We start from the raw sequence: 16,512 nt of genomic DNA, 5'->3' as shown, positions 1-16,512 counted from the left end.
ACTCTCAAGAGCGTTCTTTGGAAGTGATGGCTCAGACGAGGGCACAAGCTAAAGGAGGCAGAGACATCTCTCTTGCTCAGGGGAGAGCTGTACCCAGGACACTATTGCCATCTACATACAACAAACAGGGCAGAAGTACTCATCAAAGAGGGCAAAGGAGACACAGTAATTCCACATCTTCCTATCACCTAGCAAAGATGTCCCCACCTTCCTCCTACCTCCTTCAGCCCTGCCAAAAGAGCTGAGGCACTGGTCATCAAACAGGGTTTAAATAAAGACAGCATTTGAACCCACACACTTTTCCATGCTAATAATAAGGTCTGTGAAGCCCTTTCTTATCTCTGCTTGATTTAGGAAGATTTCCCCACCTGACCCCAAAAGGCATCTGTGGGTACCCCAAAAGGCATCAAGGAGGGGCTCTCTTGATCCATTGTCTCCTGTCATCTTGTGTTTTGTTTACTTGTTTTGTTTACATTCATTCCCATCTTTACTTGCTAATTAAAAATTCATGAACATGTATGCTGTTTCCTATTAGGTCACTGAAAAATGCTCCAGGAAGGAACGAGACAAAAGAAAAACTCCACAAACATAAGACAGTAGTGATTATGGCTATTTTTAACCGCTATCTCCTATTAGTTGTCTGAGGTGTCAAAACAATCAGGTAAGGTTGTGGCATCCACAGGGAGCTTTTCCGAATCACACAATGTCTGCATGAAGGAGGACCAGGGAGGCAAGTTATTCACACACCTTCGTTATTTGTTACAAATCTTCTCAAATGATTATACATGTTCTGCAGTAACAGCATTTTCTCTAGGTTCTGTTAGCTCAGATGTAGTTCATTAATACTGAGTAGGTTTAATGAAGGTTCTTTATTTTCCTTTCTCACTTCCCTCATGGTCCGCATTCGTCTTAGCTGTCCCTGACCTCTAAGCACACCATCCCAAACCTGGGCCAGGTTGGTAGGGTCTCTCTTAATTTAAAATGTCTCTGTGGAAGTTTAAAAAGTTAAGTGAAGAACTTCCACACAAATCCATCCTGATGTCTAATGACCCCTATGTGTCATCTCTCTTTTTAGTCTGGCCTGAGAGCTTTCTGACATAGTGCATTTCCCTAAGAGAACTAGGACATTACTGATTCTTGTTATGGGAAATAACTATCCCTCAAAGATGTAAGAATCATTCTCAGCCTTGTTTTCTGAGTTAGGACACAAATTCTACTGAAAATTAAACTCTATTTATGGAACTGACAGAAAAACCACTCTGCACTTAGAAATAGAGAGGAAGAATGGGGAGGGGGAAAGCACACACTGATTTCGACAGTTTTATCTTCTATGGGAAGAATAGCATGGGAAGTCCCTCAAATCTCCTGCTCATGTCATTGTCTTACTTTGGGTTCTCCCCAAAGCAGACCTTGAGACAATTATTTGGGAGAGACAGTTTACTTGGGCATGGTCCCAGGAAGCATAGTGAAAGGGAGGGAAATGAATAAAGGATGTGTTAAGTTCTATGAGCAACTGGGGTTCAATCCCTATTGAGACCTTTTGAGAAAGTATAAAACACACCTCTGAGCTGTCCCACTGAGGGGTGAGGAATCTGGGTTACTGATGCACTAAGTCCCATTGATCTTTGGTTGAAGGTCCTTCCTGGGGTAAGTTCCTGGCATTTCCAGCCGAACCCACAAACAGACCAAGCACACTTCTGAGGTCAGAGAGTGATCACCGCCGATAAATGCAGGCAGCTGTCAGTCTGCATGAGAATCACCTGCAGATGACCCCCAGGGCAGGCTGAGGCCATATAGGTGGGACATTGACAGTGTCTGATAGAGCTGTCCTCCCAAACTGGATTCAAATCCTGGAATCCATGCCCCTGCCACCTTACCCAGATCTATCTAGGTTTTTGGGTTTTCCTGTCCTGGAGAAAGGCCTTGTATACTCTGGCCAGATAGAATGCAAGAAAAGCAGTAAGAGCAAGGCACTACCCTGTCCCCAGATATACCCTATAGACACCCAGCCCTTTGTCATCACTGCCTATTACATCCTCCTCCCTCCCATGGCACACAGGGAGGCATATTTCTGCTTACTTTTAGGAAGAACTTTCTAGCTATTAGAGGTGTCCAACTGTGGCTGCCTCTGTAGACTCTTAACACCTTGTCACTCATTCAAATATTTACGGAGAGTGGGCCAGGCTCTGTGTTGGGGGCTGTAGGAGATCAAAGAGGAATAAGATAGGATTCCTGCCCATCCACCCCCTGCCCACAGGGGCTCACAGCTGAGACTTAAGACAAGTCCTCAAATAACGGTAATTTAAGGCAAAATGAAGCAAGTGCTTCCACAGAGGTAGAAGCGACTCCCTGTGGGGATTCAGAGGGAAGGGATCTGAACCACTGGCAGGGCTGTTGGGAAGAGGCTCCCCGCATGAAAAAGGATGGGGAGGCTGGCAGTCCTCCACAGTCCCCTTCAACCTCTAAGCCTGTGATCATAGATTAAAACTAAAAGCAAATAAACAAAAAAAGACCACAGCTTACAGTTCACATTCTAGACTAGCACAGTAAATGCTTTTTTTGTTTCCTTATCAGCAGGCGGAGAAATGTCTTGCTAAAACTAACAAATAATTATGCCTCACAAAAGAAGTAGAGGCAGTATCCCTCATAATAGAGGGATAAATACAATGTTGACTTATGAATTTGCTCATTGTTCTTCTCTATAGCCCCTTTTCAGAATATGAAACACTTCAGGCAAGTCACATCGCTCAAGTTCATCATCTTCTCCTTCATTTTCCTTTGCCCCAGAACCTGAGAGAAATGGGCAGATAGATTCTAAACTGCAGTTGTCCCTAGGTACAACGACAGCCACACAACAAATGAGAAGGGAGTAATGGCAAGGAAGGTCTCCAATGACTTAAAAGGAAAGAATGAGGTTAAAGAGCTGGATTAGGAGTCTGAATAAATAGGAGTGCTTACTCATTAAGCATAAACGACTTTTCATGGCCTTTGGTCAATCCATTTGTGTGGTTCTTCTGGGTGACTGTTTATGCCCCTATTAGGAACATTTGGGAGTTATGTTTGTCCTTGGGACATGGCCAAGAGGAATGGATATTTTGGCTCTTTACAGCTTTCCCATTTCCTACCAGCTGCCCCCTCCACTCTCTTCCATCTGCCTGGCTCTCCCATTCTTCCCTGCCAGCCTTCAATGCCTTTCCATCTGCAGAGCTGCCCATTAGTCAAGGGCATTAAAATCACTGGGCCAGGAATCAAGAGTCATGAGTTTTGGTCCCAGCTCTGGCATTCACTTAAGATATGACTTGACTTCTCTGTGCCTCAGTTTCCTCATCTGTGAGGGAGTCGACCTAATGATCGCAGACATTCCATTTCTGAGTAAGTAATGTCAGTTCCAGGAGACCAGGAGCATAGTGCTGCCTACTCCAGAGGTATATGTAGCCCAGGCCTGCTGTCCATGTCTCAGCACCTCATGCTGGCTCTGCTCACTGCCCAGTAGTGTGAGGACCAAGACTGGAGATGGACCCCTGAGTCCTTCAGCTTCTAGGTGACCAAGGGCCAGAGGCCCTTCTCTCCCTCTCCTCTTTAGCCCCTTCCCCTCATCTGAGATGCTCAGACTAACCAGTTTCCCTGGCCAGAAGGTAATAACTTGACTAATAATTCTAGCTTGATATGTATCTTCTTAAATCCTTTCCTCAAAACTGATTTATTAAATTTAAACCCCCCTATATATGCAGTCTGTTGTTATTAAATTATTATCATTATCCAAAGTATGGCACAGCCCAAGGTATAGACACAATCTACCCTGCAGAAGGCAATGCACCTGCAGCATGGTCCGTTGCATTATCTGCCCCATCTTACCTACGCCCAAAGCCTTTCCTCCCATCATTTTGGTCATAAACAGGAAAAATAACTAAATTCCAACAAAATCTCGATAACTCAAAAACCGTGTATATTGACACCCTGCCCTCACTTTTGTTACCCACAAAATTCTTTTTTTCATCCTGCAGTCCTTAACTGGAGATCACAGGATGGAGAGCCCCTTCTTCTGAGGCCTTGTCCCATGCTGTGATTAACTGAAATCGATGGAGCAGAGTCATTGTCCTGAAAGAACTGCTTGGCAGAATCTTGATCAAAGTTTTCAGCCCTGCCAAAAGGGCTCCCACTTCCAACCTGATTCCTGGCTTACGCCTACCGGCTACAAAAACAAGATAATGATAGCTTTCCATTAAAAACCTTAGCTAAATTTTCTCTTTGTGATTTCTTATGTGGTATACTGAAAGAAATACTGCTTATTCTAGAAATAATCATTTATGCAAGTTATCATTTTGGTAACCTTAAGTTATGTGTCAGGGGCTGATTATAAGAGAAGATCATTGCCAAGAGAAGGTATTATTTGAATCCCATTCATTTCACTCCTAAAAGCTGAGGTGAACTTTACACTTTTGTGGTCATAGGCCCCCACTCTGAATGAGACACATTCTCTGTGGATTACATGAGATAACATAAAGCATCCAGCCAGATGCCTGGCACAAAACCAATAGTGCAAAGAATGTCATATCTTTTCCCTCATTCAGTTCCAGGAGATTGACATTAACTCTAAAAGTTAGGTGTATACCAAATCAAAGTATTAGTAAAAAGTACAACAAAAAGAAAAATCTATCAATGATTCCAACAAGAGGCAAAAAAAGCGAAGTCTCATTGTCTTTCACAGAGAGCACAACACAAGCTTCCTACTATTCCCTACTATAGCTGTTAATGCTGCCCTAGCCACTTACCAGGCTATGCCCCACATGCCACAAACCCTCTGCTGCAGACACTATTTCCCTAGGAGTTAAAGGTCTGGAGCCCAGAATTGTCTATAAGTTTTTCCTTGACCCAGAGAGATCAGAGGATTCAGAATCAGCCAATAAGGTGCTTTCTGAGCCATGCTCTTTCAATACAATGTCCTTCCATACCTTAAGTTGGAGAAATAGGGTCTTTATCTCTTGAGATAGTCTTCTTGGGGTGCCTCAACCACCTTGGCATGTGATAGCCACATCCAGAGCGCTCAGAAGTGGGGCCATCTTGTCCTCATACAAGGAAACAGATCCTTCTCCTTATCACAAACTGTATTACAAAAGGTGAGAGAAGCCTCCTCCCCATGCTGGGTGTTGGGGCTCTTCACTTTGTGGTCTATGGGCAACGTGACTTGTCTTCAGCTCGAGAGAGGCAGAGGAAGCCCATCAAAGAGCTGTTTCATCTCTGCAAAGAACAAGTCCTGAGCACAGGGATCTCAATTCCTTTCCAGTTAATGGGGCTACAGCTTTTTAATCATTACTATGAACATGAAAGGTGTGATCACCTGTCAGATCATCACAGGAGGCAAGGTATAACCACCACTTCGGGGACACTTTCCCTAAAGGGGCCCTGTCCTCTCGACAAGCTCTTGAGACCTTGACTTTCCAAATCAAAAAGTCAAGGGAGGGAGGCCATGCAAACAACCAGCTGAGAGCCACGGTACTCAGCAAAATCACTCAGGTCAAATGAAAATCAAATGCTCAATGAAAAAGCTAATACAAAATATAAACAGTATTGCCTCGACTGAGAAAACGTTATACATACGAGGGAAGCACACCCAAATACTACCAGTTATTGAGTGCTTATTATTATTATTATTATTATTGAGATGGAGTCTCACTCTGTTGCCCAGGCTGGAGTGTAGTAGCACAATCTTGGCTCATTGCAACCTCCACCTCCTGGGTTCAAGCAATTCTCCTGCCTCAGCCTCCTGAGTAGCTGCGATTACAGGCGCATGTCACCATGCCTGGCTAATTTTTTGTATTTTTAGTAGAGACGGGGTTTTGCCATGTTGGCCAGGCTGGTCTCGAACTCCTGACCTCAAGTGATCCGCCTGCCTTGGCTTCCCAAAGTGCTGGGATTACAGGTGTGAGCCACTGCGCCTGGCCTGAATACTTATTTTGTACCAGGTATACATGATGGTGGGAACTTTTCTTTAGGGTCTTTTTCTCATCTCTATTCTCTTATGTATAGAAAAGTTAAAAAAATTTTTGGTATATATATTTTATATATATAATTTATATATAATATAAATAATCAGGGAGAAAAGGGTTATTAAAACTATACAGAGGAGACTCTCCCTCCCCACTGAAGTTAATAATCAAAATATCAGATGTCAAAACACCTGATGGAGCTAGGGAACTTATGTTCAACCTCCTACTTTTATCAATTCACTCTTTTTATTGAGGTGCAAAGGTTGTTGGTTTCTAGTTTCTTTCTTCCCCACTATAAATAATGCTAGGGGTTTATTGGTATTTTTAACTTTAATAGATTTGGTTTTTTAAATTTCCTTTTTCTTATAGATGGAGTCTAGCTATGTTGCTGAGGCTGAACTCCAACTCCTGGGCTCAAGCGATCCTGTCTTCTCAGCCTCCCAAACTACTGGGATTATAGGCATTTGGTATTTTTAATTTTAATTTTAAAAATTATTTTAATATATCTTTAATACATTTAGCTGGGTTGCACTCCATCAAAGTTGAAATTACTCAAATGTCCCCATCTCTTTTGACTTCAGCAAAAAATATATATATTTTTAGTAAAGTACAATTTACATATAGTAGAATAAGCAGGTTTTAATGACCAAAACTGCTTTTCTAAAGACAAGAATACAAAACCACTTTATTTAAAGTTTTTAGAAGCCAAGTTCATGCAACAATCTCATTTTACAGTTAGGAAATAAAAAAAGGAACCCAGCCATTGCTTATATCTACCTAATGTGTGTGATATCAGTCAAGCGACACGTTCAAAGAAAGAGGAAGAATGAGACTAGAGCCCCAGCATCTTGATTTCCTCTCTACACGGCCCCTCTGCTTATTGCTCCCTTTTTCTTGTGCCCTGCAGCTTATATTAACTTAAGTTTTTATTTCCTCAATCTCAAAGCCATGAGGAATAGTATTTGGAGATATTCCAAAACAGTTTTCAGAGACCTTGTGAGTAACATTCAGTATCAGTAAGAAAATAGATTGTGTCAAAGCAATGGAAAAAGCTCAGCCTCATCTCCTTTCTCCAGCTTAATAACACCATATGTATTACTTATATATTTGCCAGTACAAAACTCACTTTGGGTCCTAAAGCTGTTAAATCATTAGTTTATGATTAATTAGTTTAACATTACCATGTAAACCTGCTGATCCCACCTCGAAACATATGGACACTGGGATAGTAACATCTGGAATAAGAACTGTCCATGCTTGAAACTATACTACAATAGCTATGAGATGTGATGAGCTCTAAAGGAAACCTCCAACTTCTGCCTCCCATGAACCACAGGGTGCCCTCTGGGGGGCCAAATGGGGCAGCTGATTGATGACTATCTGATCAGGTCTGGCCAAACAGTAGGCCAAACCATGTGGAGGCCATCTGTCACTGCCGGATGGAGACAGAAAAGGAACAGGAATAGCCCCAGTGCCCAGCAAAGATAACATTGGCTCACGAGTCCTGTCCCTCTGGCCTGGCTTGCCCATAGCAATGTTTCCTCCAGCAATTGCTTTACAAACCATTAAGCAGCCATGAAAACAAGCGCCTGGCCATATGTCCAAAGGCCACAGGAAACCCAGGATCTGGTTTAAGAAAAAAGAGAAGCTCCTCTCTCTCTCTCAGCTCTGAGTAAACCTCCTTGGGCAGGGTAAATGTTTTTGTATGAGGCATCATTGCAAAATTGAAATGGTAGGGAATGATGGGTACAGCTGGAATCAGATTCAGGGGCACCTAGTGAGGCAAGTGATTAGGAAAAATTGCAGCTTTTCTGGGTTAGGATGTAGTAACTTTAGGCTACCTTTAAGGTTGAAATTAGAGCCTCTAAGACTTCCGGGAAATATATTTATCAGCATTTTATCCCCAACTGCCCCCCCAGCCCCCGCCTTTTTTTTTTTTTTTTTTTTTTAATAAGGCCTGGCTACTTAGAGCTTGATCTGTGACACTGGCTTCACCTAGCAGCTTGTTAGAAATACAGTATTTCAGGCCCTTCCCCAACTTTCTGAATCAGAATCTGCATTTTAACAAGATTGTCCCAGGTTATAGGTATGCACATTAATGTTTGAGAATCTCTGCAGTTAGGAGCTGAGGAGCTTCCCCGAACAAGAACTATTTCTTCTAGCACGCCTGATCTTAACAATAGCTGAACATTTGCAAACATAACATCATGCCAAATGTGCTTAAAATGTACAAACACATTTCACCCTTAGGCCATCCCTGACAAAGTCACTGTCATTATCCCCTATTTACAGATGAGGTGGTAAGGTTCTGAAAAATTTAAATAACCTGCCTAGGATCACAGTACTAAGAAGGAAGTACAGAGCTACAGTTAGCACCTACTGCCCCAGCTGTTTTACTTTGCCATAAATGCAATAGCTGGGGCACTTCCCTCTCCCTTGAGGGAAGACGATGAGAAATTTCTACTGAAGATCTAAAAATCACAGCCGAGAGAAAAAGAGCCTCTGGAGAGAGAACTCAGTAAGCGTGTTTTCATCTCTGAAGCTTTCCCATTGGGCCCTTGACGTGCTCTTGGATTTTCCAGAATAGCCTAGCTCCGGAATGGGCAGGAGCCTGGTAGGTGGAATTCTCTTGCCCCCTCCTGCCTTGGAGCAATAATCTCTACCTGTAAATCTGAAGCCAGCTGCCCTGAGGAACAGGTCATTTTCTCCATAGAACCGCAAGAAAGTTCAAGATTAAGGCAACTCTTTGCTTTCATCAATATCTTGCCTTATAGCTGGAGTCTTAAATATGTCATCCTATATGTTTATTCATCCATTGATTAATTCAACAATACAAGACATTGTACAAGCAAGGTACAAGACAGACAAAATTCCTATGTTCTCAGAGTTTACCTTTTAGTAGAAGAGTCAGACAATAAATTAATAAATATTTACTATATCTTTATTTCAGTGTTACATAAAATATGCCTGGGAAAAGGATAGCACGTGATGGGGCTGGAGAGTGCTACATAAAATAGAGAAGCCGGGGCAGGGTGACCCCTGAGCTTGACCCTGAATGAAGTAAGAAGGTGAGCCATGTGGCTATCTGCAGAAAGAGGAGCAGCAGGGGCAAAGGCCGTGAGGCAGGAATGTCTTTGGTGGGTCAAGAAACAGCAAGAATCCCAGGATGACCGGGACAAATGACAAGTTGTAGAGGCTGAGATGTGAAAAGTAAGTGGAGTTCAGTCTATTGGATCCCAGTAAGCCATGGTAAGGGACTTCGGCTTTCATTATGAGGAAAGGAAGACATGAAGGTATTTTAAGCAGAGTGGCAAGATGTAACGGACCTCACCTTTAGGCAGGATCACTCAGGCTGTGGGTCGAGAATGGACTGCTGGGGAGCAAAGGTGGAGGCAGAGAGACCAGGTAGGAGCTACTACAGCAGTCCAGGCAGGAGCTGATGTCAGCTTGGATCAAGGGGGTAACCATGGAGGCGGCAATAAGAGGCCAGATTCTGGATATATTTTGAGATTAGAGCTGAAAGGACTTGCAGAAGACAGTCCTTTAGCTTTTCCTCATTTCCGGGCCTCTGGTTGTGTAAGGAACTGTGACTTCTGCTTTTTGTGCTGCTCCCTTCTCATCCGCCCGTCTCGTCCTGACCTCTCACACCTCTTCAGTTTCCTGACTTGCAAACGTCTCACCTGTAATGTCTGTAATCAGTCTCTGTCCTTCATCTGGTACTCCTAGCTGGCTACCATGCTGTCCCCAAATGGCACTGTCACTGATTATTATCGACACTTCATATTTGTGTTCTGCTTTACAGTTCAAGACTTCTCATGTGCATATCTCATCTGACATACTAGGTTTCACTGACCATTTCATGCCTTTCATTCAACTCCAGGAGACCACAAAGAAAGGCATAAGTCAGCTTTGGCTGAATTTCGGACAAATTAACTGCTTAGCAAATGCAGACCTGACGGAGAACAAGTAGTGGCCATAGATGAGTATGTGTAAGTGGGTGGGTCAACTGAGCTACAGGTCTCGGGGGCAAACACCGAGAGGATACAGCAAATAGCCTGGGTTATGGAACATGCTGACAAAGGACCTGAGAGAGCAGTGGACGGAAGCCAGAAAAGAAGGTCCCAGGATCGTGGGTAGAGAACCAGCAGTGAGGGAGAAAAGGAGGGAGATCTGGGGTCTGAAGGGGATAAGCAATAAAGAGAGATGGTTGAGCCAGGCAGTGCCAACCATGAGTCAGAAACCTGAGTCATCAGCCAAGTCCTGCTGGTCAGCTCAGAGGAGCCTTGCAGAAGGGACCCAGGCCATGTGTGCACTAGAGCAAAACTGAGAAGGCTGCCTAAACCAAGGAGCTTCCCTGTGCTTCCTGTTTGAATAGGAACCAATCCCCAAACATGGCTGATTAGAGTTAGGGCGTAAAAGCAAATGGGACATCTGGAAAGGTTGGGATGGGGAGCAAGGAGTAGGGATTAAAACACAGGCACTCTTTCTCCCTGAAGACTCTTGAGGTCGGAGAAATGTCCTCATCTTCTCCTGTAGTTTAGATACTTGACTCTCCAAACCTCATGTTGAAATGTGATCTCCAATGTTGGAGGTAGGGCCTAGTGGGACTTGTTTGGGTCAGGGGGACAGATCCCTTATGAATAGCTCCTCCTCAAGGTAATGAGTGTGTTCTCACTCTGTTAGTTCCCACAAAAGCTGGTTGTTAAAAGAACCTGGGCTGGGCATGGTGGCTCACATCTGTAATTCCAACACTTTGGGAGGCCAAGGTGGATCACTTGAGGCCAGGAGTTTGAGACCAACCTGGGCAACATAGTGAGACCCTGTATCTACAAAAAATTAAAAAATTAGCCAGCATGGTGGCATACACCTGTAGTCCAGCTACTTGAGAGGCTGAGGCAGGAGGACTGCTTGAGCCCTGGAGGTTGAGGCTGCAGTGAGCCACAATCCTGCCACTGCATGCCAGCCTAGGAGACAGAACCAGATCCTTTCTCTCGTGCCATGTGACCTCTACATGCCAGTGTCTTTCATCTTCCTGTATGAGTGGAAGAAATCTAAGGCCCTCACCAGAAGCAGATGCTGGCACCATGCTCCTTGTATGACCTGTAGAACTGTGAGCCAGACAAACCTCTTTATAAATTACCCAGATTCAGGTATTCTTTTTTTTTAAATATACTTTAAGTTCCAGGGTATATGTGCACAACGTGTGGGTTTGTTACATATGTATACATGTTCCATGTTGGTGTGCTGTACCCATTAACTCGTCCTTTACATTAGGTATATCTCCTAATGCTATCCCTCCCCCCTCCCCCCACCCCACAACAGGCCCCGGTATGTGATGTTCCCCAACCTATGTCCAAGTGTTCTCATTGTTCAATTCCCACCTATGAATAAGAACATGCGGTGTTTGGTTTTCTGTCCTTGCGATAGTTTGCTCAGAATGATGGTTTCCAGCTTCAACCATGTCCCTATAAAGGACATGAACTCATCCTTTTTTATGGCCGCCTAGTATTCCATGGTGTATATGTGCCACATTTTCTTAATCCAGTCTATCATTGATGGACATTTGGGTTAGTTCCAAGTCTTTGCTATGGTGAATAGTGCCGCAATAAACATACGTGTGCATGTGTCTTTATAGCAGCATGATTTATAATCCTTTGGGTATTCTAGTTCAACCATTGTGGAAGACAGGGTGGCGATTCCTCAAGGATCTAGAACTAGAAATACCATTTGACCCAGCCATCCTATGACTCAGGTATTCTCTTATAGCAACACAAATGAACTGACACCCTCCAAGTCCACAGGCTAATTATTTGATAACTTTAGAGTTTGACCTCAGGGCTAATGTCAATTGGCTTATTTCCTTCACCCTGAACCAGTAGTGATTTTCAACTTGGTTCTCAGCCTGGTACAGATTTCCTGAGTCACCACAGTACGGTTAAATCAGAATCTAGAGTGGAACCCATATGTGGTATTTTGGGCATTTTTAAAAAGCTTCCCAGGTGACTCCAGCGGGCAGTCAGAGTGCAGGACTGCTGCCTTAGAGACAAGCACTAGCTTCACCAGAGTTGAATTCAAAGCACACCCTTCTCTCCTTTGGGTCTAGTTTAATGCTGACAATGGTGCCAAGAGCAAGGGTCATAAATTAATCCTGAGCAGATCAGAAAATAAAATCTAATGCTCCTACTGAGTCAGAAGAAAAGGGAAGTTCCATCCACCAGGCTGTCTGTGGAGATACAAACACTGTATCCTGTTCAACTTGATTGATAAGAACAGGTCTGGCTGGGTATACATGCAGTACTTTGCAATCACAGGTTCCCTAAAGGCCTGCCTTAGGAACTGCAGTGTTAACAGCGACCACTGGATCATATTTATTTTTGTCAGGGGGTGGGGGTTTGCTTTTTAGTGGCTTTGCTTCTGTCTTTAGGATGAGAATCCCAGAAACAAAGATGTTTGGGATCAGTGGAACTTGAAAGATCATGCAGTCTGGTAGTTCCTGGATGTTAGTGTGTATCGCCTGGGGACACTGTAAGCATGTCCATCCCTGAAGAAAATCAGTGCTCTCATTCACCTTCTAATTGGTGGTTGTTCAGCTTCTGCTGGAGCCATGCCTTATTGGGCTCCCTCAAAAATAAAGGCCCTACCTTCCTAGCTCTGCATCCTTGATGCTCAAATAGTGTTCAGGGTTGGTGACAGACACTGTGAAATGCTTAACATCATAGTTCATTCAACAAGCGTTTATTTAGGCACCTACTAACTGCCAGGCATTGTTATAATTTCTGCAGATACAGCTGTGAATAAAACAGACAAAGCTCTGCCTTTAGGAGTTTATACTCTAGTGGGCAAAATTCTCTTTGCGTTAGGTACATGAATTTGGGAATGACTAAATTTCAAGCTCCTTGAAGATAGCTTTGTGTCTCATGAACCTTGCTGTTCTCAGTGTTTAGTAAAAGACACAGACAGCAAAAGTTTGTTGAATGCACAAATGAGTGAATACTGTGTGGTACACACAGATCCTCTTACTTCAGCTTCCCTAACACCACCAGTGTTGGTGTCCACACTCTGTCATGGCCATTCCCTTTAATGTTTAGGAAGGTTATATTTTCAAGCAAGTAAAGACCCACTTGCAAAATACTCACTCTTCAGTTGTCTTCTTTTCTTTTTTTTCAACATACCATACAATTTGTCCATTTAAAGTGTATAATTCAGACTGGGCGCAGTGGCTCACACCTGTGATCCCAGCATTTTGGGAGGCCAAGGCAGGTGGATCATCTGAGGTCAGGAGTTCAAGACCAGCCTGGCCAACATGGCGAAACCCCATCTCTACTAAAAATACAAAAATTAGCCGGGCATGGTGGCGGGTGCCTGTAATCCCAACTACTCAGGAGGCTGAGGCATAAGAATCACTTGAACCCGGGAGGCAGAGGTTGCAGTGAGCCGAGATCGCCCCACTGCATTCTGGCCTGGGCAACAAGAGTGAAATTCTGTCTAAATGAAATGAAATGAAATGGAATGAAATAAAATAAAAAGTGCATAATTCAATGGTTTTTAGTATATTAGTATTTAGTATATAGATATGTACAACCAACATCACAATCAATTTTAGAACATTTTCATTGTCTCAAAAAGAAACTCTGTACCTATTAGATATAACTCTCTTATACCCCTTCCATTCTAACTCTAAGCAACAACTAATCTACTTTCTTCTTTAAAGGTTTGCCTATTCTGGACTTTTCAAATAAATGAAACCAAATAATAAGTGGTATTTGGTTACTAGCTTCTTTCACTTAGCAAAATGTTTTCAAGGTCCATCCATGTTGTAACACATGTCAGCATGTCATTCCTTTTTATGGCCAAATAAATATAAGTCCATTATATGAAGATACTACATTTTGTCTATCCATTCATCAGTTTATGGAAACTTGGGTAGTTTCCACCTTTTGATTATTATACATAATGTTGCTGCAAACATTTGTGTACAATGTATGGACATTTTATGTAGACATATGTTTACATTTCTCTTGAGTATATACCTAAGAATTGAATTACTAGGTCATATGGCAACTCTAACTATTTGAGGAACTGTCAGACTGTATTCCAAAGTAGTTATACCATTTTACACGCCTGCAGCCATGTGTGAGCATTCTGACTTCTCCATATCCTTGCTAACATTTGTTATTATCAGAGTTTTACTTTTCTTTTTTTTTTTGGAGTCTTGCTCTGTTGCCCAGGCTGGAGTGCAGAGTGGTGCAATCTCTGCTCACTGCAACCTCTGCCTCCTGAGTTCAAGCGATTCTCCTGCTTCGCCCTCCCCAGTAGCTGGGACTATAGGCGTGCCCCACCATGCCCAGTTAGTTTTTTACCTATTTTTAGTAGAGACCAGGTTTTGCCGTGTTGGCCAGGCTGGTCTCGAACTCCTGACCTCCAGTGATCCACCTGCCTCGGCCTCCCAAAGTGCTGCGATTATAGGCGTGAGCCACTGCGCCTGTCCAGAGTTTTTGATTATAGCCAATCTAGTGCATTCTAGTGGGGAAGAAGTAGTATCCAGCCTGGGTGACAGAGCAAGACTCCATCTCAAAAAAAAAAAAAAAAAAAAAAAAAAAAGAAGTAGTATCTCATTGTGGTTTTGATTTACGTTTCCCTGATGACTAATTATGTCAAGCATCTTTTCATGTGCTTATGACCATCTGTATATATTATTGAAGAAATGTCTATTTAAATCCTTTGCACATTTTAATTGGGTTGTCTTTTTATTATTGAGTTGTAAGAGTTCTTTATAGATTGCAGACATAACTCCCTTATCAGATAAATATTTGCAAATATTTTCTCCCATTTTGTGGTTTTTCTTTTCATCTCTTGACTGTCATTTTTGATGCACAAAATTTTTTGTTTTGATGATGTCCAACTTATCCATTTTTAATTTAGTGTAAGGTAAGGGTCCAACATCATTCTTTTGCTTATGACTATCCAGTTGTCCCAGCACCATTTGTTGAAAAGACAGTTCTTTCCCCATAAAATGATATTGGCACTCTTGTCTAAAATATGTTGACCACAGACACATGGGTTTATTTATGAACTCATAATTCTATTCCATTGATCTATATGTCTGTCCTTATGCCAGTATCACATTGTCTTAATTACTTTTGCTTTGTATTAAGTTTTGAAATTGGATAGTATGAGTCTTCCAACTTTGTTCTCTTTCAACATTATTTTGGCTATTCTGCATCTCCTAAAATTCCACATGAATTTTAGAATCAGTTTGTCAATTTCTACAAAGAATCCAGTTGGGATCCTGATAGAGATATACTGGATTTATAGATCAAGGATTTGAGGAGTATTGCCATCCTAACAATATTAAGTCTTCTAATCAATGAACATGAGATTTTTTTTCATTTATTTGTATCTTTAATTTCTTTCAACAATGCTTTATAGTTTTCAGAGTATAAGTTTTACACTTTTTTCATTAAATTTATTCCCAAGCATCTTATTCTTTTTTATGCTATTATAAATGGAATTTTTTTCCTATTTCCATTTTCAAATTATTTATTTTAAGTGCATGGAAAGACAATTAATTTTTGTTTATTCATTTTGTATCCTGCAACCTTGTTGAACTTATTTACTAGCTCTAATAGTTTTTTACTGAATATTTTGGGATTTTTCATATACATGCTTGTGTCATCTGAAAATATAGTTTTACTTCTTTCCAATTTGGATGACTCTTATTTCTTTTTCCCGAATAATTGCCCTGAATAGACCCTCCAATATTGAATGGAAGGGGCAAGAGTGTCGTTGTCTTGTTCTTGATCTTAAGCGGGGAAGTATCCAGTATACTATTAAGTATAACAATAGCTGTGAATTTTTGTAGATGCCCTTTTTCTGGTTGAGGAAGTTATCTTCTATTCCTAGTTTGTTGAGTATTTTTATTATGAATAGGTGTTGGATTTTGTCAAATGCTTTTTCTGGGTCTATTGAGATGATCACATGATTTTTGTTTTTTTTTTCCTACTGAAGTTAAACCAAGCTCACAATTCTGGGATGACTCCCACTTGGTCGTGGTGTGTAATTCTTTCTATATGTTGCTGGATTTTGTTTCTTTTTGTTTGTTTTAAAGATGGGGTCTTGCTCTGTCCCCAGGCTGGAGTGCAATGACACGATTATAACTCATTAAAGCCATAAAACTCCTGGAGTCAAATAACTCTCCTGCCTCAGCCTCACAAGTAGCTGGGACTATTCGTGAGCACCACCATGTCTGGCTAATTGGATTTGGTTTGATAGTATTTTGTTGGAAATCTTTGCATCCATATTTATAAGAGATATTGGTCTGTAGTTTTCTTGTGTGACAGATTTATCTGGATTTGGTATCAGGGTAATACTGGCCTTGTAAGCTGGGACATGTTCCCTCATCTTTTTTTTTTTAATATAAGCTTACAAAAAATGAGTATTAATTCTTTAAATGTTTGGTAGAATTCAGTGATGAAGCCATCTGGGCCTGGGCTTTTCTTTGAGAATATTTCTTTGATTACTAATT

At 41.9% G+C, this 16,512-nt stretch overlaps 1 protein-coding gene across 32 annotated transcripts in view; it reads right to left on the bottom strand.

Annotated features, from left to right (window-relative positions):
• KALRN (kalirin RhoGEF kinase) overlaps positions 1-16,512 on the bottom strand; it is a 692,957-nt gene that overhangs the window by 400,673 nt on the left and 275,772 nt on the right. The window lies entirely within an intron of this gene.

Source organism: Homo sapiens, chromosome 3 (genome assembly GCF_000001405.40).
Source record: "Homo sapiens chromosome 3, GRCh38.p14 Primary Assembly".
NCBI classification, from domain to species: domain Eukaryota; kingdom Metazoa; phylum Chordata; class Mammalia; order Primates; family Hominidae; genus Homo; species Homo sapiens.
The sequence above is the reverse complement of the archived record's forward strand: the minus strand, read 5'-3'. Positions and strand labels throughout refer to the sequence as shown.